At 41.0% G+C, this 22518-nt stretch overlaps 1 protein-coding gene across 1 annotated transcript in view; it reads right to left on the reverse strand.

Moving 5' to 3' along the window:
• The window catches only part of C9 (complement C9), an 80356-nt gene extending 57838 nt beyond the window's left edge, over positions 1-22518 (reverse strand). The window contains exons 1-2 of the mRNA NM_001737.5: positions 22411-22518; positions 114-219 (exon numbers count right to left, since the gene is read on the reverse strand). Of these exons, the coding sequence (NP_001728.1) occupies positions 114-219; positions 22411-22487 (183 nt within the window). The 5' untranslated portion in view covers positions 22488-22518. The remainder of the gene's footprint in view (positions 1-113; positions 220-22410) is intronic.

The raw sequence follows: 22518 nt of genomic DNA on the forward strand, positions 1-22518 counted from the left end.
CTGGGTTTGGAACTCAGTTGTGGGGCTCCCTGCCTCATAATCATTTTTCTGGAGAGGCTAGCAATACAGTTTCCATTTGGGGAGGTCAGTGGGGAAGGGAGATGAACACTTACCATTTGTCTGAGACAAGGATCGCATTGTGACCATTCACTCCAGGGGCTCATTCTGCAGTCTATGTGTGATGCAGAGCCACTGCTTTCTGTTAGCTCTGGGTCATAACTAAGATAACAGAACATCCCAGTTTATAATGACCATTGTGTATATCTGTTTCCAAGAAGTCTTCATAAACACAGTTCATTTTGTACTTTATCCCCTCTCAAATTATACCACTTATCTTTTTACTATATCTCTCATTTCACCCTCAATTGCATGCTGTTTTGTATTTTCAACTCATCTTTTTGTTAATTCTTGTCTGTATTGTAAGTTAACTTTTAACTTCCCAGGAATGCAAATATTTGAAACAACAAAACAACGGCAATGAGGAAAACTAGCAAAGCATCTTTCCAGGTGTTTTACATAGATTAATCTTATATTTCCAACTAGATTATGAACATAATGAAGCCAGAAATCTGATTTTATTTTTTTGTGTGTCTTCCTTCCCATCCACCATACCCCACCCCTCCCAAGAATCTGGTGAGGCTAAGTTACCTCATTCTCTTGCAAATTTAAGCCAGCCAGCCCAGGCCCAGCCATTCCTGTAGCGGGCACCTCATAAATCAGGTTTCCCCTCTCTGGTATTCTGTATGCCCTAAACTGGATGCCTTGCCACTTCACACTTCACTTCAGGACTTATTCCTGATCTTTCTGAGTTTTAACATCATATATTTTGGCACTTATGCCTCCCTTTCCACCCCTAGGCCCACTGCTCAGCAAGGCTTTTCTGGCTTTGAACTTTCCTTTCTCCGTTGGTTCACCATTTGAGTCTCTTCTGGTTGAAATATCACCCAGGATAATTACAAAAAAAAGAAAACACATCAGAACCAGAAACCACCCAACAAGAATCCTACAAATTCCCTACCTCTACTTGCCTGACCTGACACTGATCCTTCCTATAGTTAGGCCTCTTAAACCACAGAAAAGGCTAGCTGAACAGGAACAGCTCGTTTACAGCTCCCAGCGTGAGTGACGGAGAAGTCAGGTGATTTCTGCATTTCCAACTGAGGTACCGGGTTCATCTCACTGGGGCTCATCAGACAGTGGGGGCAGGACAGTGGGTGCAGCCCACTGAGTGTGTGCTGAAGCAGGGCAAGGCATCGCCTCACCCGGGAAGTGCAAGGGGTCAGGGAATTCCCTTTCCTACCAAAGGGAAGGGGTGACAGACAGCACCTGGAAAATCGGGTCACTTCCACCCCAATACTGTGCTTTTCCAACGGTCTTAGCAAACAGCACACTAGGAGATTATATCCTGCACCTGGCTCAGAGGGTCCCAGGCCCATGGAGACTTGCTCATTGCTAGCATAGCAGTCTGAGATCAAACTGCAAGGGCAGCGAGGCTGGGGAGGGGCGCCCGCCATTGCTGAGGCTTGAATATGTAAACAAAGCAGCCAGGAAGCTCGAACTGGGTGGAGCCCACCACAGCTCAAGGAGGCCTGCCTGCCTCTGTAGAGTCCACCTCTGGGGGTAGGGCATAGCCAAATAAAAGGCAGCAGAAACCTCTGCAGACTTAAATGTCCCTGCCTGACAGCTTTGAAGAGAGTAGTGGTTCTCCCAGCATGGAGTTTGAGATCTGAGAATGGACAGACTGCCTCCTCAAGTGGGACCCTGATCCCCAAGTAGCCTAACTGGGAGGCACCCCCCAGTAGGGGCAGACTGACACCTCACATGGCTGGGTACCCCTCTGATATGAAGCTTCCAGAGGAACGATCAAGCAGCAACATTTGCTGTTCAGCAAAATTCACTGTTCTGCAGCCTCCGCCACTGATACCCAGCAAACACGGTCTGGAGTGGACCTCTGGCAAACTCCAACACACCTGCAGCTGAGGATCATGACTGCTAGAAGGAAAACTAACAAACAGAAAGGACATCCACACCAGAACCCCATCTGTACGTCACCATCATCAAAGACCAAAGGTAGATAAAACCACAAAGATGGGGGAAAAACAGAGCAGAAAAGCTGAAAATTCTAAAAATCAGAGCACCTCTCCCCCTCCAAAGGAACACAGCTCCTCACCAGCAATGGAACAAAGCTGGATGGAGAATGACTTTGATGAGATGAGAGAAGAAGGCTACAGACGATCAGACTTATCTGAGCTAAAGGAGGAAGTTCGAACCCAATGCAAAGAAGCTAAAACATTGAAAAAAGATTAGACAAATGGCTAACTAGAATAACCACTGTAGAGAAGTCCTTAAATGACCTGATGGAGCTGAAAACCATGGCACGAGAACTACGTGATGAATGCACAAGCTTCAGTAGCTGATTCGATCAACTGGAAGAAAGGGTATCAGTGATTGAAGATCAAATGAATGAAATGAAGTGAGAAGAGAAGTTTAGAGACAAAAGGATAAAAAGAAATGAACAAAGCCTCCAAGAAATATGGGACTATGTGAAAAGATCAAATCTATGTCTGATTGGTGTACCTGAAAGTGACAGGGAGAATGGAACCAAGTTGGAAAACACTCTGCAGGATATTATCCAGGAGAACTTCCCCAACCTAGCACAGCAGGCCAACATTCAAGTTCAGGAAATACAGAGAATGCCACAAAGATACTCCTCGAGAAGAGCAACTCCAAGACACATAATTGTCAGATTTACCAAAGCTGAAATGAAGGAAAAAATGTTAAGGGCAGTCAGAGAGAAAGGTCAGCTTACCCATAAAGGGAAACCCATCAGACTAACAGCAGATCTCTCGGCAGAAACTCTACAAGCCAGAAGAGAGTGGGGGCAATATTCAACATTCTTAAAGAAAAGAATTTTCAACCCAGAATTTCATATCCAGCCAAACTAAGCTTCACAAGTGAAGGAGAAATATAATACTTTACAGACAAGCAAATGCAGAGAGATTTTGTCACCACCAGCCCTGCCCTACAGGAGCTCCTGAAGGAAGCACCAAACATGAAAAGAAACAACCAGTACCAGCCACTGCAAAAACATGGCAAATTGTAAAGATCATCAATGCCAGGAAGAAACTGCATCAACTAATGAGCAAAATAACCAGCTATCATCATAATGACAGGATCAAATTCACACATAACAATATTAACCTTAAATGCAAAATGGGCTAAATGCGCCAATTAAAAGACACAGACTGGCAAATTGGATAAAGAGTAAAGACCCATCAGTGTGCTGTATTCAGGAGACCCATCTTATGTGCAGAGACACACATAGGCTCAAAGTAAAGGGATGGAGGAAGATCTACCAAGCAAATGAAAAACAAAAAAAGGCAGGGGTTGTAATCGTAGTCTCTGATAAAACAGACTTTAAACCAAAAAAGATCAAAAGAGACAAAGAAGGCCATTACATAACGGTAAAGGGAGCAATTCAACAAGAAGAGCTAACTATCCTAAATACATATGCACCCAATACAGGAGCACCCAGATTCATAAGGCAAGTCCTTAGAGATCTACAAAGAGACTTAGACTCCCACACAATAATAATGGGAGATTTTAACACCCCACTGTCAACATTAGACAGATCAGTGAGACAGAAAGTTAACAAGGATATCCAGGAATTTAACTCAGCTCTGCACCAAGTGGACCTAATAGACATCTACAGAACTTTCCACCCCAAATCAACAGAATATACATTCTCAGCACCACATCGCACTTATCTCAAATTTGACGACACAGTTGGAAGTAAAGCACTCCTCAGAAAATGTAAAAGAACAGAAATTATAACAAACTGTCTCTCAGACCACAGTGCAATCCAACTAGAACTCAGGAATAAGAAGCTCATTCAAAACCACTCAACTACATGGAAACTGAACAACCTGCTTCTGAATGACTACTGGGTACATAACGAAATGAAGCCAGAAATAAAGATGTTCTTTGAAACCAATGAGAACAAAGACACAACATACCAGAATGTCTGGGACACATTCAAAGGAGTGTGTAGAGGGAAATTTATAGCACTAAATGCCCACAAGAGAAAGCAGGAAAGATCTAAAATTGACACCCTAACATCACAATTAAAAGAACTAGAGAAGCAAGAGCAAACACATTCAAAAGCTAGCAGAAGGCAAGAAATAACTAAGATCAGAGCAGAACTGAAGGACATAGAGACACAAAAAACCCTTCAAAAAATTAATGAATCCAGGAGCTGGTTTTCTGAAAAGATCAACAAAATTGATAGACCACTAGCAAGACTAATAAAGAAGAAAAGAGAGAAGAATCAAATAGATGCAACAAAAAATGACAAAGGGGATATCACCACTGATCCCACAGAAATACAAACTACCATCAGAGAATACTATAAATACCACTACACAAATAAACTAGAAAATCTAGAAGAAATGGATAAATTCTTGGACACATACACTCTCCCAAGACTAAACCAGGAAGAAGTTGAATCCCTGAATAGACCAATAACAGGCTCTGAAATTGAGACAATAATTAATAGCCTACCAACCAAAAAAAGTCCAGGACCAGATGGATTCACAGCTGAATTCTACCAGAGGTACAAGGAGGAGCTGCTACCACTCTTTCTGAAACTATTCCAATCAATAGAAAAAGAGGGAATCCTCCCTAACTCATTTTATGAGGCCAGCATCATCCTGATACCAAAGTCTGGCAAAGACACAACAAAAAAAGAGAATTTTAGACCAATATCTCTGATGAACATTGATGCAAAAATCCTCAATAAAATACTGGCAAACCGAATCCAGCAACACATCAAAAAGCTTATCCACCATGATCAAGTGGGCTTCATCCCTGGGATGCAAGGCTGGTTCAACATATGCAAATCAATAAACGTAATCCAGCATATAAACAGAAACAAAGACAAAAACCACATGATTATCTCAATAGATGCAGAAAAGGCCTTTGACAAAATTCAACAGCCCTTCATGCTAAAAACTCTCTATAAATTAGGTATTGATGGGACGTATCTAAAAATAATAAGAGCTATTTATGACAAACCCACAGCCAATATCATACTGAATGGGCAAAAACTGGAAGCATTCCCTTTGAAAACTGGCAAAAGACAGGGATGCCCTCTCTCACCACCCCTATTCAACATAGTGTTGGAAGTTCTGGCCAGGGCAATAAGGCAGGAGAAAGAAATAAAGGGTATTCAATTAGGAAAAGAGGAAGTCAAATTGTCCCTGTTTGCAGATGACACGACTGTATATTGAGAAAACTCCCTTGTCTCAGCCCCAAATCTCCTTAAGCTGATAAGCAACTTCAGCAAAGTCTCAGGATACAAAATCAATGTGCAAAAATCCCAAGCATTCTTACACACCAATAACAGACAAACAGAGAGCCAAATCATGAGTGAACTCCCATTCACAATTGCTTCAAAGAGAATAAAATACCCAGGAATCCAACTTACAAAGGATGTGGAGGACCTCTTCAAAGAGAACTACAAACCACTGCTCAGCAAAATAAGAGGATGCAAACAAATGGAAGAACATTCCATGCTCATGGATAGGAAGAATCAATATCGTGAAAATGGCCGTACTGCCCAAGGTAATTTATAGATTCAATGCCATCCCTATCAAGCTACCAATGACTTTCTTCATAGAATTGGAAAAACTACTTTAAAGTTCATATGGAACCACAAAAGAGCCCTCATTACCAAGATAATCCTAAGCCAAAAGAACAAAGCTGGAGACATCATGCTACCTGACTTCAAACTGTACTACAAGGCTACAGTAACCAAAACAGCATGGTACTGGTACCAAAACAGAGATATAGACCAATGGAACAGAATGGAGCCCTCAGAAATAATACCACACATCTACAACTATCTGATCTTTGACAAACCTGAGAAAAACAAGAAATGGGGAAAGGATTCCCTATTTAATAAATGGTGCTGGGAAAACTGGCTAGCCTTATGTAGAAAGCTGAAACTGGATCCCTTCCTTATATCTTATACAAAAATTAATTCAAGATGGATTAAAGGCTTACATGTTAGACCTAAAACCATAAAAACCTTAGAAGAAAACCCAGGCAATACCATTCAGGACATAGGCATGGGCAAGGACTTCATGTCTAAAACACCAAAAGCAATGGCAACAAAAGCCAAAATTGACAAATGGGATCTAATTAAACTAAAGAGCATCTGCACAGCAAAAGAAACTACCATCAGAGCGAACAGGCAACCTACAGAATGGGAGAAAATTTTTGCAATCTACTCATCTGACAAAGGGCTAATATCCAGAATCTACAAAGAACTCAAATAAATTTACAAGAAAAAAGCAAACAACCCCATCAAAAAGTGGGCAAAGGATATGAACAGACACTTCTCAAAAGAAGACATTTATGCAACCAACAGACACATGAAAAAATGCTCATCATCACTAGCCATCAGAGAAACGCAAATCAAAACCACAACGAGATACCATCTCACACCAGTTAGAATGGCAATCATTAAAAAGTCAGGAAACAACTGGTGCTGGAGAGGATGTGGAGAAATAGGAACACTTTTACACTGTTGGTGGGACTGTAAACTAGTTCAACCATTGTGGAAGTCAGTGTGGCGATTCCTCAGGGATCTAGAACTAGAAATACCATTTGACCCAGCCATCCCATTACTGGGTATATACCCAAAGGATTATAAGTCATGCTGCTATAAAGGCACATGCACACGTATGTTTATTGTGGCACTATTCACAATAGCAAAGACTTCGAACCAACCCAAATGTCCATCAATGATAGACTGGATTAAGAATATATGGCACATATACACCATAGAATACTATGCAGCCATAAAAAAGGATGAGTTCATGTCCTTTGTAGGGACATGGATAAAGCTGGAAACCATCATTCTCAGCAAACTATTGCAAGGACGAAAAACCAAACATTGCATGTTCTCACTCATAGGTAGGGATTGAGCAATGAGAACACTTGGACACAGGGTGGGGAACATCACACACTGGGGCATGTTGTGGGGTGGGGGGGAGGGGGGAAGGAACGCATTAGGAGATATACCCAATGTAAATGACGAGTTAATGGGTGCAACACACCAACATGACACATGTATACATATGTAACCAACGTGCACGTTGTGCACATATGCCCTAGAACTTAAAGTATAATAAACAAAAAAGGAAAAAAAAAAAACACAGAAAAGACTAGGTGATGCCAATCTCTCCTCAAATTCTCTAGATCCCAGCTCCCCTTAGAGACTCTGATTCATTGAATATCTCCTTCCTTTTAAACTCTCCCTCTCTACTATCTCCTTTCCATTTGTAATATAAAGTGTTCAAGCTTGTGATATTAAACATAAAAAGCCAAGGAATGAACAAATCATGCACCATCCCTGATTACACATTTTCTTCCAACCACTACCATCTCCCTCCTGCCCTTCACAATAACACTTCTTAGAATAAATGCTGGAAGCACATTTATGTCTTTCTGACATCCAAAGAACAAGTCTTATCTCCTTCAAACTCTACATGCCCTTTTAGTTACTTCTAAATTCTCTTTTCTTTTAGCCAAGTTTCTTGAGAAAGTAGTGAGCACCCTCGTCTCTTGTTTCCTACATCCCAACACTTCTCAACCCTCCTGCCCTGTGAACGCTGCTCTTGCCCAACTCCGTGATGACTGCCATGTGCCTCACTGTTCCTTTCAGTCCTTATCTTACTGACTGCTTCATGGCATTCAATGTATTCACCACTGTTGCTCTTCAGGACACTCTCTTCTCTTGGATTATAGGGTCTTTCTTTCATTTCTTTTTTCTTCTCTGCCTGGTACTCCTACTCTTTTATGCAGGCGCCTCTTCTTCTGATAGTCCTTGAAATACTAATTTTCCCTCGAGATCCTTTCCTTGGATGTCTCTCTCTCTCTCTTATTTTTCTCTATATTTTCACCAGAACTTTGGTTTTCATGTTTATGCTAATGACACTGTATTAATCTGTTCTCACATGGCTATAAAGGACTACCTGAGACAAGGTAACTTATAAAGAAAAGAGGTTGATTGACTCACAGTTCCACAGGCTGTATGGGAGGCATGACTGGGAAGGTCTCAGAAACTTACAATCATGTCAGAAGGGTGAAGGGTAAGCAAGTACATCTTCACATAACATCAGGAGAGAGAGAGTGACGGGGGAAGTACTACACAGTTTTTAACAACCAGGTCTCATGAGAACTCCATCATGAGAACAGCAAAAAGGAAGTCCAGCCCCACGATTTAATCACTTTCCGACAGGCTCCTCCTTGAACATGTGGGGATTACAATTCAACGTGGGAGATGAGTGGGGACACAGTGCCAAACCATATCATTCCACCCTGGCTTGTCCAAAATCTCATGTTCTTCTCACATTTGAAAACACAGTGATGCCTTCCCAACAGTCCCCTAGAGTCTTAACTTATTCCAGCATTAACTAAAAAGTCCAAGTTGAAAGTTTCATCTGAGACAAGGCAAGTCCCTTCTGCCTATGAGCCTGTAAAATCAAAAACAAGTTAATTACTCCCAAGGTACAGGCATAGGGTAAATGCTCCCTTTCCAAAAAAGAGAAATCAGCCAAGAGATAGGGGCTACAGGCACCATGCAAGTCCAAAACCCAGTTGGACAGTCATTAAATCTTAAAGCTCCAAAATGATCTCTTTTGACTCCACTAATCATGTTCAGGGAATGCTGATGCAAGGAGCAGCTCTGCTTCTGTGCCGCTGCCTGTATAGACCCTGCAGCTGCTTTCATGGGCTGACATTGAGTGCCTGCAGCTTTTCCAGGTACACAGGGCAAGTTGGTGGATCTACCAATCTGGGGTCTGGAGGATGGTGGCCCTTTTCTCACAGTTCTACTAGGCAGTGCCCCAGTAGGGACTCTGTGCAGGGGCTCAAACCTGACACTTTTCCTCCACATTGCCCAAGTAGAGGTTCTCCACAAGGGCACCGTCCCTATAGCAAACTTCTGCCTGGACATCCAGGCATTTCTATACATTCTCTGAAATCTAGGTTGAGGTCCCCAACCTCAACTCTTCCCTTCTGTGCACCTGCAGGCCCAACACCATGTGGAAGCCACCAAGGCTTGGGTTTGTACCCTCTGAAGCAATGGCCTGAGCTGTACTTGGCCCCTTTTAGGCACAGTTGGAGTTGGAGCAGCTGTGATGCAGGGTGTCATGTCCCAAGGCTGCACAGAGCAGTGGGGCCCTGGGCCTAGTCCATGAAATCATTTTTACCTCCTAGATATCCAAGCCTGTGATGGAAGGGGCTACCACAAAGGTCTCTGAAATGCCCTGGAGGCATTTTCCCCTTTGTCTTGGCTATTAACATTTGGCTCCTCTTTATTTTTGCAAATATCTGCAGCTGGCTGGAATTTCTCCCCAGAAAATGAGTTTCTCTTTTCTACCTTATGGTCAGGCTGCAAATTTCCCAAACTTTTACACATTCCTTCCCATTTAAATATAAGTTCTCTTTGCTTATGCGAATGAGCATAGGATTTTAGAAGCAGCCAGGCCATATTCTGAACACTTTGTTGCTTAGAAATTTCTTCTACCAGATACCTTAAGTCATCTCTCTCAAGTCCAAAGTTCCACAGATTCCTAGAGCATGGGCACAATACCACCAGTCTCTTTGATAAAATATAGCAAGAGGACCTTTGATCTAGTTCCCAATAAGTTCCTCATCTCCATCTGAGACCATCTCAGCCTGGATTTCATTGTCCATATCACTATCAGCATTTTGGCCCAAATCACTCAACAAGTCTCTAGGAAGTTCCAAATTTTCTCTCATTTTCCCTTCCTGTCTTCTTCTGAGACCTCCAAACTCTTCCAACCTCTGCCTGTTACCCAGTTCCAAAGTCAATTCCACATTTTCAGGTATCTTTAAAGAATGTCCCGCTCTTGTTACCAATTTTCTGTATTAGTCTGTTCTCACATGGCTATAAAGAACTACCTGAGACTGGGTAACTTCTAAAGAAAAAAGGTTGAATTGACACAGAGTTCCACAGATTGTATAGGAGGCATGGCTGGGGAGGCCTCAGGAAACCCAATCATGGTGGAAGGGTGAAGGGGAAGCAAGCACATCTTCACATAGTGGCAGGAGACAGAGAGTGAAGGGAGAAGTACTACATACTTCTAAACAACCAGCTCTCACGAGAACTCCATCACAAGAACAGCAAGGGGGAAGTCCACTCCCATAATTAAATCACCTTTCACTATGCCTGTCCTTCAACACATGGGAATTACAATTTGACATGAGATTTGGGTAGGGACACAGAGCCAAACCATATCAGACACCCAGAGATAAGTCAGCAGCCCAGACATCTCTCCTGAACTTTAAACTTTTGAATACAACTTCCAATTGGACCTTGCACTTGAAGGTCTTCATGACTTACTGAACTCAATGCATTCCCAAATGAGTGCGTTAATTTTTCTCCCCTCTCAAATATGCTTCTCCCTTGTATTTATTGTCTTGGCAAATGGCACTTCCATTTATGCAGTCATTCTAATCAGAGACCTGGTGCTACTTGTCTCATCCTGCACTCCAATCCTCATCTATGCCATCTAGTCAACCACAAAAATTTGCTGTTACAGTCTTGTAAATGATTCTCAAACCCATCCATTCTCTTCATCTCTTTCAGATGTTTTTCTTGTCTACACCAACATTATATATCTCCTAGATGACTACAAAAATTACTCTCTAATTCAGTTTCCAGAAGGCATCCAGAGGGGTCTTTTAAAAATGCAAATTTGATCTTATCATTCAGTTACGAGAAACCTTCAGTAGCTTCCCACCACTCTTGTGATGAAGTCTAAGTTTTTTTTTTTTTTTTTTTTTAACATAATGCAATAGGCAGAATAACGACTCTCAAAGATATCCCTGTTCCAATTGCTGGTACCTGTGAATATGTTGCCTTACACAGCAAAGGGGGCTTTGGAAATGTGATTATGGGGAGATCATCCTGTATTATTTTGTTGGGCCCACTCTGATTACACGGGCTCTTTAAAGGAGAAGAGTGGGTGAGAGAGATGTGAAGACAGAAAAGGCAGGAGAAATTCAAAGCATGAAAAGGGATTCCACCTGCTGTTGCTGGCTCTGAAGATGGAAGAAGAGGGCAATGAGCCAAGAAGCACAGGCAGCTGTAGAATCTGGGAATAGCAAGGACATGATTTTTCTTTAGAGCCTCCAGAAAGGAATCTGGCCCTGCCAACACCTTGATTTTAGCCTAGTGAAACCTAATTCAATTTTCTGACTTCTAGATCTGTTAAATAATAAATTTGTGTTTTAAGCCACTAAGTTTGTAGTAATTTGTTACAGCTGTGATAGGAAACAAAAGCACAATGCCTTGAGAGCTCTACATGGCCTATCCCTTTCCTAATTCTCCAACTTTACTTTACTCCACTTAAGCTCCAGCTACACTGAACATTAAAATTTCAAGACAAGCCACTTTTTCTCATGTCTTCAGGCTTTTAACCATGCTATTCACTATTCACTACATTGATCTCATCTTGGACACACATTATATTTTTCTGGGAATCCACCTTAACCTCCCCGTGTAATTTAGTTTTCTATATACATATTCTTATAGCATCTTGTTCTCATATTTCATTGAATTAATTATTCACTCATCATTTATCTATTCATCAAATATATATTAATTTCCTATTATTGGCTAAGCATGGGAGTTATAATGGTGTTCAAAACAAAACAAAACAAAAAACATGATCCCCAAAGTAAGAGTTTACATTTTAGCTAAAAATACCAGTGAGCTTGGGGACTTTCCTGTTTTGTTCAGCTTGAATATCAAATACCTGAAACATAATAGGTACTCAGGAAGGGTTTTTTTTTAAATGAATAATTGAATAATTGAAAGAGGAGGAAGGAAGTCCTTAGTCATGGGGTTTTGGCCAAATCTAGGCCTGTATCTCTCTAGGGTGTGATCTCCTGGGGAATCATCCACATGGTTTTTGAGCAAGGATTGCAAGGCAGGCTTCCTGGCTGGAGGTGGCATTTTTGTAAGCCTGGCCCTTGCCTACACCTTCCAGAATATCTGGAGGTGTGATGAGCTTCATCTTCTAAAATTGCAGGCTAAAAATGTATTACATGGGATGCCAAAACGTCTAGAAGAACCTGCTTTCTTGGAAGTCTGAGTACTAGTGCATATCTGAAACCACATGACTAAGAAATTCTCTGCTGGAATGTTTCCATAAAACTACAGCCTCATCTGGAACTGACAGGCCACATCAAGAGGCAATAGCACATACACCTTAATGCCCTATAGCAGTGGGTCTCAATACCAAGTACATATCATAATCCTTAGATATTAAAAATAGGAATTGTAAAATTGTGATCCCCATTCTATACTGATTAAATCAAGCTCTCTGAGGATTGGCTCTAGGCATCAATGTTTTTAAAAAGTTACCCAGGTGATTCTCATGTTCAAACAATGTTGAGAAACACTGCTTAGCAACATCTGGTGGAAATCCATGATATCTGAAGGGTGGACCTCAAGTAGGTGTAGGAGTACTCATTATATCATTACCCAAGATTGAAACCACCATAGACCTAAAATTGTCACTGAGCTGGTATCCTTTCTGAGTACCTACTATGTTCCAGGTATTTGATATTCAAGCTGAACAAAACAGAAATGTCCCCAAGCTCACTGATATTTTTAGCTAGAATGTAAACTCTAGCTAGTTAGTTTGAGGATCATGGTTTTTGTTTTGTTTTGTTATTTTGAATACCATTGTAACCCCCTGCATAGCTAATAATAGGAAATTAATAAATATTTGATGAATGAATAAATGAGTGAATAAGTGAGTAAATACTTAATTAAATGAAATATGAGACAAGATGCTATGTACATAGAAAACTAAATTACACTAGGAGGTAAAGGAATCTCATTGGAACATCATTGGTTTCAGGAATTGCTCTAGGCTCTATTAACATTTCTATGAATCTTTTTAATGTCTGATTTCTCCAGTGTTAGTGCTGTTGTTGCCTTGAACTGGATTATCTGTTTTTGTCTATTACTTTTGTATTTGTCGTTTACTTAGATGAATATGTTAACATTTTGTTTCAACATTTCCCCAAGATAGATTACTTCCTTGGTTCCAGAAACCTCATCTTTCTCACCTGCCACTCAGACAAGCCTCAGTGAATGCTGGTTCAGAGGATACTGTACAGACTGGAGAATCATGCATGGAAGGTAAAACTCACTGCAAATACTCCAGAGTGAGTTACAGTCCATTACTGGATAAATCTAGAACCCAACCAGGGCTATTCATCTTTCCCACACGTAAGTGACTAGACCCTGCTCCAATGATACTGGCATTACCTCTAGACAGTTCTCTAACATGATTTGCAATAATAATAGGACCTCGTTGACTATGTGTACACTTATTTACTTCCTTCTTAGCTTCTAACCCAAGGACTCCTTTTTGTTTTTTTTTATTAAAAGTATGACTCACGCTTGGGACTTAATAGAAAGCACCAGATCTTTGCCTTTTATCTTTTATTGCTCTCCCGGACTGTGACTTGAATTCATTCTTTGAATGATTCAATCTATCACCATAGGAAGGTTCTTACATATCACTCTCTTGCCCTGGGACTAGGACTTACATTCTCTGGATGTTAAGCTCAGTGTATGAGTTTTCTAGGGCCACCATAACAAAGTACCACAGACTGGGTGCCTTAAACAACAGAAATTTATTTTTTTGCAATTCTAGAGGCTAGAAGTCTGAAATCAAGATATGGTTGTGTTGACTCCTTCTGAGGTCCCACTCCTTGGCTTGTAGATGGCCATCTTCTCCCTGTGTCTTCACATGGCCTTCCCTGGTGTCTGTGTTCAAATTTCCTCTTCTTATAAGGACACCAGTCGTATTGGATTAAGGCCCACCCTAATGACCTCATTTTAACTTAATTACCTTTTTAAAGGCCTTAACTGAATATACAGTCACATTAATAGGTATTGGGGGTTAGAACTTCAACATATGAAATGGTGGTAGTAGTGGCAGAGGATGGGGGGAGATCAGCCCATAACACTCATAAATGATTTTGATTAAGTAAACCCTTATATTTGTCTATTCATTTTACTAGACAATTTTCAAAGCTCATTTTCTCATTAACCTTTACTCTACCTTTTCTTGGTAAACTTTGTAAGCATTACTAGTTCTTTTTTATAGATGGGAAACTAAAAATGGAGAATTACACTACTTATCCAAAGTTGAACAGTTAGTAGAAAACTGGGTCTAGACTCGACAACTCTTAGCTCTTAGTTCAGTGCAATGTTTCCCTGTCTCCTGTGCTGGCTTTTTCCCCCAAACCTAAATCCTCTTTGAAATAAGCTGAGTGGTCATAGCATATTTAGTAACTTCTGCATCTAATAGCCTCATGCCTTTTAGACATCTTGAGATACAGCAAGTGGACAAGAATGCAAGTATTTTTAAACATATAGCAGCCCCAGGCAAAGCACGTCAGTGGGACAGCCTGACGCTTGCCTGGACCTACTTTAAGCTTACACCTAAATGATGTCAAATTAGGCAAAAATAAATTGAAAATTGTTTTAACACCTGGTTGTTTTGCCTTCACTGTGCCAGCTACCTGGCTCACTGGAAGCACAGTGAAGGCAGAACTCATGGGAATTTTTAGCAGAGAATAACAAGTCATGCAAAAAGAATATATTATTGAAAGAATATGCTGCATAAATACTAAGAAAGAACATAGGTGATCTTGAATAGCTTCTTCTGTCTTTCATCCTTTGAGCCCAACACCCCCTCCTCAGCCCACTTAACTCACTCAGCAGATCATCTTTTGTAGTTCAAGGACTGCATATGTACAACACTTACCACCTGCCTATTACCCTGCTGTGCTATTAGGCTGAGTGGAGAAGTATTTGTAAAGCACTTTCTGGATTCTTAGATGAAATGTGTTTATCAAATAAAACGTATCTCCAAGTGTTTCAATCTCAGCTTGAAAGTCACTTCCTAGATCAAAGTGATGTACATCAACATGGCAGGAGATCTACCTCTGGGCCAGAAATGCATCAAATGAAGAGTCATTGATATACGCCTGGTCCTATTATCCTGCCATGAAGAAAAGTTTCCAGTTTTAGAAAAAGAAAGCCTCAGTAGCACCTCAAATTCCAGGATACTTTGTGGTAGGCCCAGACAGGAAAGCACTTACTTTATGAAGGAATCTTTTGGTCAATAAATATGATAATGTGGCTTCTTTGAGGGGAGAAATATAAGCCAATTAGGACTACATTTTTAACCAATGGATTTGGCACAGTTTCTTTAGTTCATGCAACTCGTCAAGATGAAAAGATAATATAACAGCAGTGTCAAACACTTAAGTTTTTAACGAACCTTTCCTGATTTCTCAAGTCTTATTTCAGAGCTTCTCTCATGTGCTTTAAATGAGCCAAGGGTCACCAACCTTTACTGAGGAACTGGTACATGTCGGAAATTGTTCTAGTGGCTAAGGTTGCAAGACAGAAAATGTCCTTGTCATCATGAGGCCTACACTCTAGTGGGTGAGATATAATAAGCAAGTATGCTAGAAAATACAACATGCAATATTTCTTAAGACATGTGAGTTATGAAGGAAAACAAAGCAGACCGGGTAAGAGGATAGAGACTGCCCTAGGACTGGAGTTGGGAGGGAGGGCAGTGAAAGAATCCTCTCGCAGGTGGTGTGGTGCTTTTAAAATATGTCCAGAAATTCTTTGACACTCTTCCCATCAAAAGTAGGGTTTATGTGTGCTTCTATTGAAGTTGGCTGGGCCTTTGTGACAGCCTTGATGAGTAGAAGGCAGAGGAAGTAACACTGTATGAATTTTAAGGCTGGGTTACAAAAGGCCATGCAAATTCTGCTGGTTTATCTAAAGATATTTGCTTGAAAGCCTTTCACCACTGTGTACGAAGCCACCTACGAGCATGGGGTGGAGAGAGAGAGAGAGAGATATTCCTAAAGACACCCAGTTGTTCAGCTCCCCAGCTGATTGAGTCTTCCCAGCCCAAGTGACAGACATGTGAGTGAATAAGCCATCAAGATGACCCCAGCTGCAGCCACCATCTGACTACACCTATGTGGGAGGTCCATGAGAACCGCTCAGCTGAGCCCAGGCAACCCCTGGATTTATGAGCAAAAGAAATAATTGCTATTCTTTTAAGATACTATTTTGGAATGAGTTGTTACACAGCAAAAAAGCAAAACAAAAAGAGAGTAGAAGGTGATAGTCCATTAAGGTCCTCAATGAATTTAGAGAGGAAGCTCTGTGAGGGTCTGGATAAAGTTTTCCAAGCTAAGGGAAAAATAAGTGCAAAGGCCCTGATGTGGCATGTTGGAGGCACAGCAAGCATGGTGTTAGAGCAGAGTGAGCCAAAAAGAGAGTGCAAATGCCCTGGGGAACAGGGAAGGGTGCAGCTCCACCTTGTAGGCCATGGACAGGTGTTTGGATTTGATTCTGAGCTTGCTAGGAATACTTAGAAGAGTTGGAGAGCAGAAGTAACACAAGTTTGTGTTTTCCAATGATTTCTGTGGTTGCTGGATGGAGAATTGACTACTGGGGAGTGGACAAAAATGGAGGCAGGCAAGAAATAATAGTGATTTGGGCTGGAGTGAGTCGTGCCCATGGAGATAGCGAAAAGCAATCAGGTTTGGGATATGTTTAAAGATAGTACCGGGCCGGGCGCGGTGGCTCACGTCTGTAATCCCAGCACTTTGGGAGGCCAAGGCGGGTGGATCATGAGGTAAGGAGATCGAGACCACCCTGGCTAAAACGGTGAAACCCTGTCTCTACTAAAAATACAAAAAATTAGCCGGGCGTGGTGGCGGGCGCCTGTAGTCCCAGCTACTAGGGAGGCTGAGACAGGAGAATGGCGTGAACCCGGGAGGCGGAGCTTACAGGGAGCCGAGATCGCGCCACTGCACTCCAGCCTGGGTGGCAGAGCGAGACTCCATCTCAAAAAAATAAATAAATAAATAAATAAATAAAAAATATATATATATATATATATGTGTGTGTGTGTATATATATGTGTATATATATATGTGTGTGTATATATATATGTGTGTGTGTGTGTATATATATATATATATATATATGTAGTACCAATAGGACTCACTGTTAAGTTGCAAGTGGGAATGACACACGTAGAGGTCTCAGGTATGATTCCCAGGTTTTAATCTAAGTAACTTGGAGAATGGTGGTGCAGGGTGGGTAGAGACGAGTACAGAAATCAATAGGTATTCTCCAGACATGTTATGTTTGGGATGCCTACTAGATTTTTCAAGAAGAGATGTTGACTAAGCAATTGGTCACTGGGCTCAGGGAAACAATTGCACTGGAGATACAGATGTGAGAGTTGTCAGAGTCTAAGTGGTATTTCATCATAGGTATAGATGTGGGGATGTCGGCGTATAAGTGGCGTTTCACCATAGATATAGATGTGATGTTGTCAGAATATAAGAGGGTATTTCATACCACGAGACCGGATGCAAGGGAGTGGGTCTAGAGTAAAGTGGAGAAATGTGCCATTTTTTTTTAAGTTAAAATATGTTTGTATGTCATTGAGATTGATTCAGTAAAAGGGAGGTATTGATGCTGCAGGAGAAAAGTGGCAGCATTATTGGAGCAAAGTGCTCGATTAGGCTAGAGCAGAGGAAGCTGGTATGCAAGTGGACTGGTGAAGCTTCACAGGAGCATCACAGGCCTCACTTGGCTGAGGTGCAACAAGGGAACTTGACTGAGTTGTAATTGCCATTTCCTTGTTAGCATTCCTCACTAGATTGTAAGCCCAGTGAGGGCAGGGACCCTCCGTAATGTGTTCAACATTATACTGCAATTCCTGACACAACGTCTGGCTCATTCGACAAAGTTGATAACTGTTTGCTGTATTAAATGGACAAATACACAAATTATCCTATTTGGCCAAATGTAGTTCATAAATAAATATCTGTTCACTTGCATGGAATATAAAAATGAAAAACTTAGGCAAATATAACCAAAGTAGGAGGAAAAAGTGACATTTTAAATATCTTTGGTTTGTTAGATATCCAAAACTTTTCTATTAATGAATGTTTGGATATTTTTCCAGATTGTTGAGATAAATTGAATTAAAATAAATTAAATAATAGTTGCTAACATTTGTGAGTGCTTATATGTGTCACGAATTCTTCCCTTAAGCCTTTGTATTTATCATCTCACTTAATTCTTATATCATCCCTTAGATATCTACTACTATTATTATTATTATTATACTTTAAAGATGAGGACCTGAGCCACAGAGATGGTAAGGAATTGCCCTCAGATTAGACAGCAGCTACTTGGTGGCAGAGTTGGAATTGAAACCCGGACAACTTCTCTCCAGAGCCCAGGTAACTAGTCACTTTCAGGTCTTCTAAACCCCAATCTAGTACTCCTTAGTTATTTAAAAAGTGAAGAATAAATTAAATATGAAAGTAACTCCACTAAAACATACCACATAAAGTCAAAGGAAGAATGACAAACTGGGAAAAATATGTGTAATTCATATCAGAGACAAAGACTAATTTATGAAGTGATCATAGAAATATGTAAGAGAAAGACAGGAGACTCAATAGAACAATGGACAAAGGAAATGAATAGTTCGCGAAGAAAAACATATATATGGCCTTTCAATGTATGAAAAAAATGTGCAATCTGACTCAATAAGAGAAAGGCAAATTAAAACCGTGCCAAAATACCTATTTTTTTTTTAACCTATGAAGTTGACAAATATCAAAAGGTTGGCCTGTGGTTCCTGTCGCAAGGCTGTGAGAAACAAGTACTCTTACTCTGCTGGTGAAAGTGCAAAATAATACAAATAGGGCAATTTTAGCACTGTCACAAAGTGATTATCTTTTGACTCAGATCACTCTGGGAATTAATCCTCAGGTACACCTAACCACTTACAAAATGATATATAAACAAGGATATTCATTGCAACATTATTTCTAGTGCGAAAGATTGGAAACACCCAAATGTTCATCAGTAAGAATTAATCAGCTATGACAATGAGGAAGTTCCCACATATTGACTCAGAAAGTTATCCAGGACATGCCATGAAGTAAATAAAAAAAAAAAGGAAAGTAAAAGAAAGTAAAAAATAGTATATATAATATGATATCATTTGCAAAAGACTGGGAGAGAATAAGATTACGTATGAGTCTATGGTTTAACCTACAAAATAAGTACTGGAAGAATACTCAGAAACTTATATATGTGACAACCTGTAGAGGTAGGATGAGGTGGGAGCGAAGAAGTGTTTTTAAACTCTTTATATATACTTTACATATAATAACACAAATCTCACGGAAAGTTATGAGTAGGGAAAGTAAGATACTCAATGTATACCTTGTTTTATTTTTGATCTTTGAACCATGTGCATATTTTGTTATTTACAAGTTAGAGAGAAAAGGTAATGATAGCTACACTCACAGAGCACTTCCTGTTTGCCTGGCACTGTGCTAAGCATGTTGTCTTTGTTATCTCAGGTATTCCTCACAGCAGGACACATTATTATTCCCATTTAGCAGGTGAGGTACAGGTTTAGAGAAGTTAAGGAATTTACTTAAGGCGCAGAGCCAGTAAATTGTGGAGCTGGGATCGAACCCAGGCCACCTGGCTCCAGAAGCAACGCTCTGAGCTACTATTCTACTCTCATGGTGGTTTTAAACATTGATGCTCTACCTTGAGAAACATAAGAGATGATGTCCCCCTCATGGCCAGTTCTCATGGGCACATTAATCTTTGTAAAAAAATAAAAGAAAAAAGAAAAAAACAATAGTTAGAAATCCCTGACAGTTCTCCAGTAATAATAGGTCACTGTAGCTGTGGCATGAGATGTCTTCAAGCCATGGGAGAGCCCTGAAGGCTAGCTGTAATTCCAACCCTTCCGTCCTAAACAAGAAAGATAGCAAAGTGAAAGCACAGGAAGGTTATTATTTTTTTTAAATACCTGGCATTTATTAAGTTCTTACCATGCGCCAGGCACAGATGTCATAAGGACATTACATGTATACCTGTTTAATGTTCACAACGAAAACCTTATTAGACAGATGCTATCATTACCATTGTGATGAGTTGAATTGTGCCTGCCCGCCAACCCTGAAAGGTATGTTGAAGTCCTAACCCCAGATAATTATTTGGTCCTAAGTGTCAAATAAGACTGGGACCTTATTTGGAAATAGGGTCTTTACAGAGGTAATCAAGTTAAAATGACATCGTTAGGGTGGGCCCTAATCCAATATGACTGGTGTCCTTTTAAAAAGGGGACATTTTTATAAAGACATACACAATGGGAAGATGATGTGAAGATGGCCATGTGATGATAGACACATAGACTGAAATGATCTGAAACCAAAAAATAAAATACAAGGGAGTGCTGGCCACCACCAGAAACTAGGAGGGACCCTTCCCAGAGTATCGGAGGGAGCACGGCCCTGCCAACACCTTGATTTCAGACTTCTAACCTCCAGAACTGTGAGACAATACATTTCTTTTGTTTGAAGCCATCCAGCTTGTGGTGCTTTGTTATGGTAGTCCCAGGACATAAATAAAACCACATCTTACAGACGAGGGAAGCGAGGTACAGAGAGGCCAAGCAACCCGCCCAAAATGACACTGTTGGTAAGTAAAGGCACCTTGACCTGAGCCTGGGAAGTCTAGCTTCAGAGGATTTTAAAAGTTATTTTGCAAATTTCAGTTAGCTATTATTCAAACAAATCGTCTCACTTCATGACTGAGGGCTCTGAACACTCTGTTTTGACCTCAACCCCCGTCAAAGGGCAAAGCACAGAGCATTCAGAGCAGGGCAACCGGGGCAAACTCAAGAGGGCATAGCAATGGGAGCCCACGAAACCAAACCAAACTCAGCCGTGCAGCTGCTGGAGCTGGGGTCCAGCTAATGGGGCTTTCCGGTCCTCCCTGAAACAGCTGAGTGTGGCCAGGACCCAGGGGGTACGCACTTCAAAGCAATCAAAGCTTCCCCACAGCCTCTCATTTTTGATCAGCAGGAGCTGCAATCTAGGAATGTGGGTTGTTTGAATTATTATTATTATTTTTTAGCTTAAGAAAGGGTCAGGTGAAGTTCAAGGGAGCTAAAGCAACTTGGAGGAACTGCCTTTCCAAATCCCTTTTGTGCCCAGATGCCCACTAAACAAAAATATTTCCTGAATGGTACAATGCTTTACAGATAATATGGAAAGAGGAGGGATGAAGGAAAGGTCTGGTCGAGCACTGGATCCAGGGCCCATGTTCATCTGTGTAGCACCTCTGGGTGCCCCCTCCTGAAAGATACAGCCCTGTGAATAACCCACTTGTTGAGTGGAGCCCAGGCTGAATGGCGGCCTCCAACTGCAGCCAAGAGGCAGGCAAATATGTACTGGAGACGGGCATCAAAGTTCAAAACAGCATTTGGGTAAACCAAGAGTCAAATGACTAATGAGGAATTGGAAGCAGGTTATGGTTATGTCTGAGCAGAGGAACAGGGCTTGGGCAGACATTTCCCCCCAGCCACACTGTTGAAGTGAGGAATATTTCAGTACTCTCCCCAGAACGGATCATCCTGTATTGAATTATACAGGTCGATGTCTACTCTGATGACTCCAGGATGGAAGGAAGGATGCCTCATGTGACCCTAACCTCCACCATTTCTAGGTACAGTGTAGCTGTTCAATAAAAACTTATTATATGGGTGATTTGTTTCCTGGATGACTTGCCATGGGCTTTGCAATTCCGATTAGGATCAGAGAAAAAGGAGAAAAAGTATCTTTGGTAGAAGCATGAGTGACAGGTCTGCATCACTGCAATTCTGGAATGGAAGAAATATGACCTAAATCCCAAATGGCCCTAAACAAAATGCATGCCTCTGAACACAACTCAGGATGTCAAGGGAAAGAAACAAAATAGTTAACCTTTGCCTAATGTGGAGGCAAAAGGGTGATGTATCCAAATGTTAAAGGTGTCAGGCATTGAAGCAGAGTGAGGGAAAGATTAATTTCCTTAATTTTAAACTTCTCAGACATCAGGCACTAATAAACCCAGGTTCATCATACACTGGTGAAAACAAGCTTTATTTTATAATTCCAGATATTTAAAGAATACCTCAATCTTAACATTTGAGTGCCTTGTTGAAAATAAATCCCCAGAAACAGCAGCACATTTCCACAGAAAACTCATAAAGATGCACCCTATGTATTTTCTTATCTCTTTTCGAAGTTTAGATTCTAGGGCTCTGTATATTGCCATGTGGATTAACATTGTCATGTACTTTGCTGCTAAGAAGACCTTGAGATGCTAATCCTACAGGAAACTTCCAGAGACAAGCAGAAAAGTAACTGACTCACCTGGTCGTGTACTGTGCTGTGAGGATGCTTATTTCTAAAATGCAGATTGCAACTGCAAAGCTCCGGCAGGCTGACATGCTGCTCTTGCTGGGTGGCTGCGAGTGGGGT

The sequence above is a fragment of the Homo sapiens genome, chromosome 5, assembly GCF_000001405.40.
Source record: "Homo sapiens chromosome 5, GRCh38.p14 Primary Assembly".
Taxonomy (NCBI): Eukaryota; Metazoa; Chordata; class Mammalia; order Primates; family Hominidae; genus Homo; species Homo sapiens.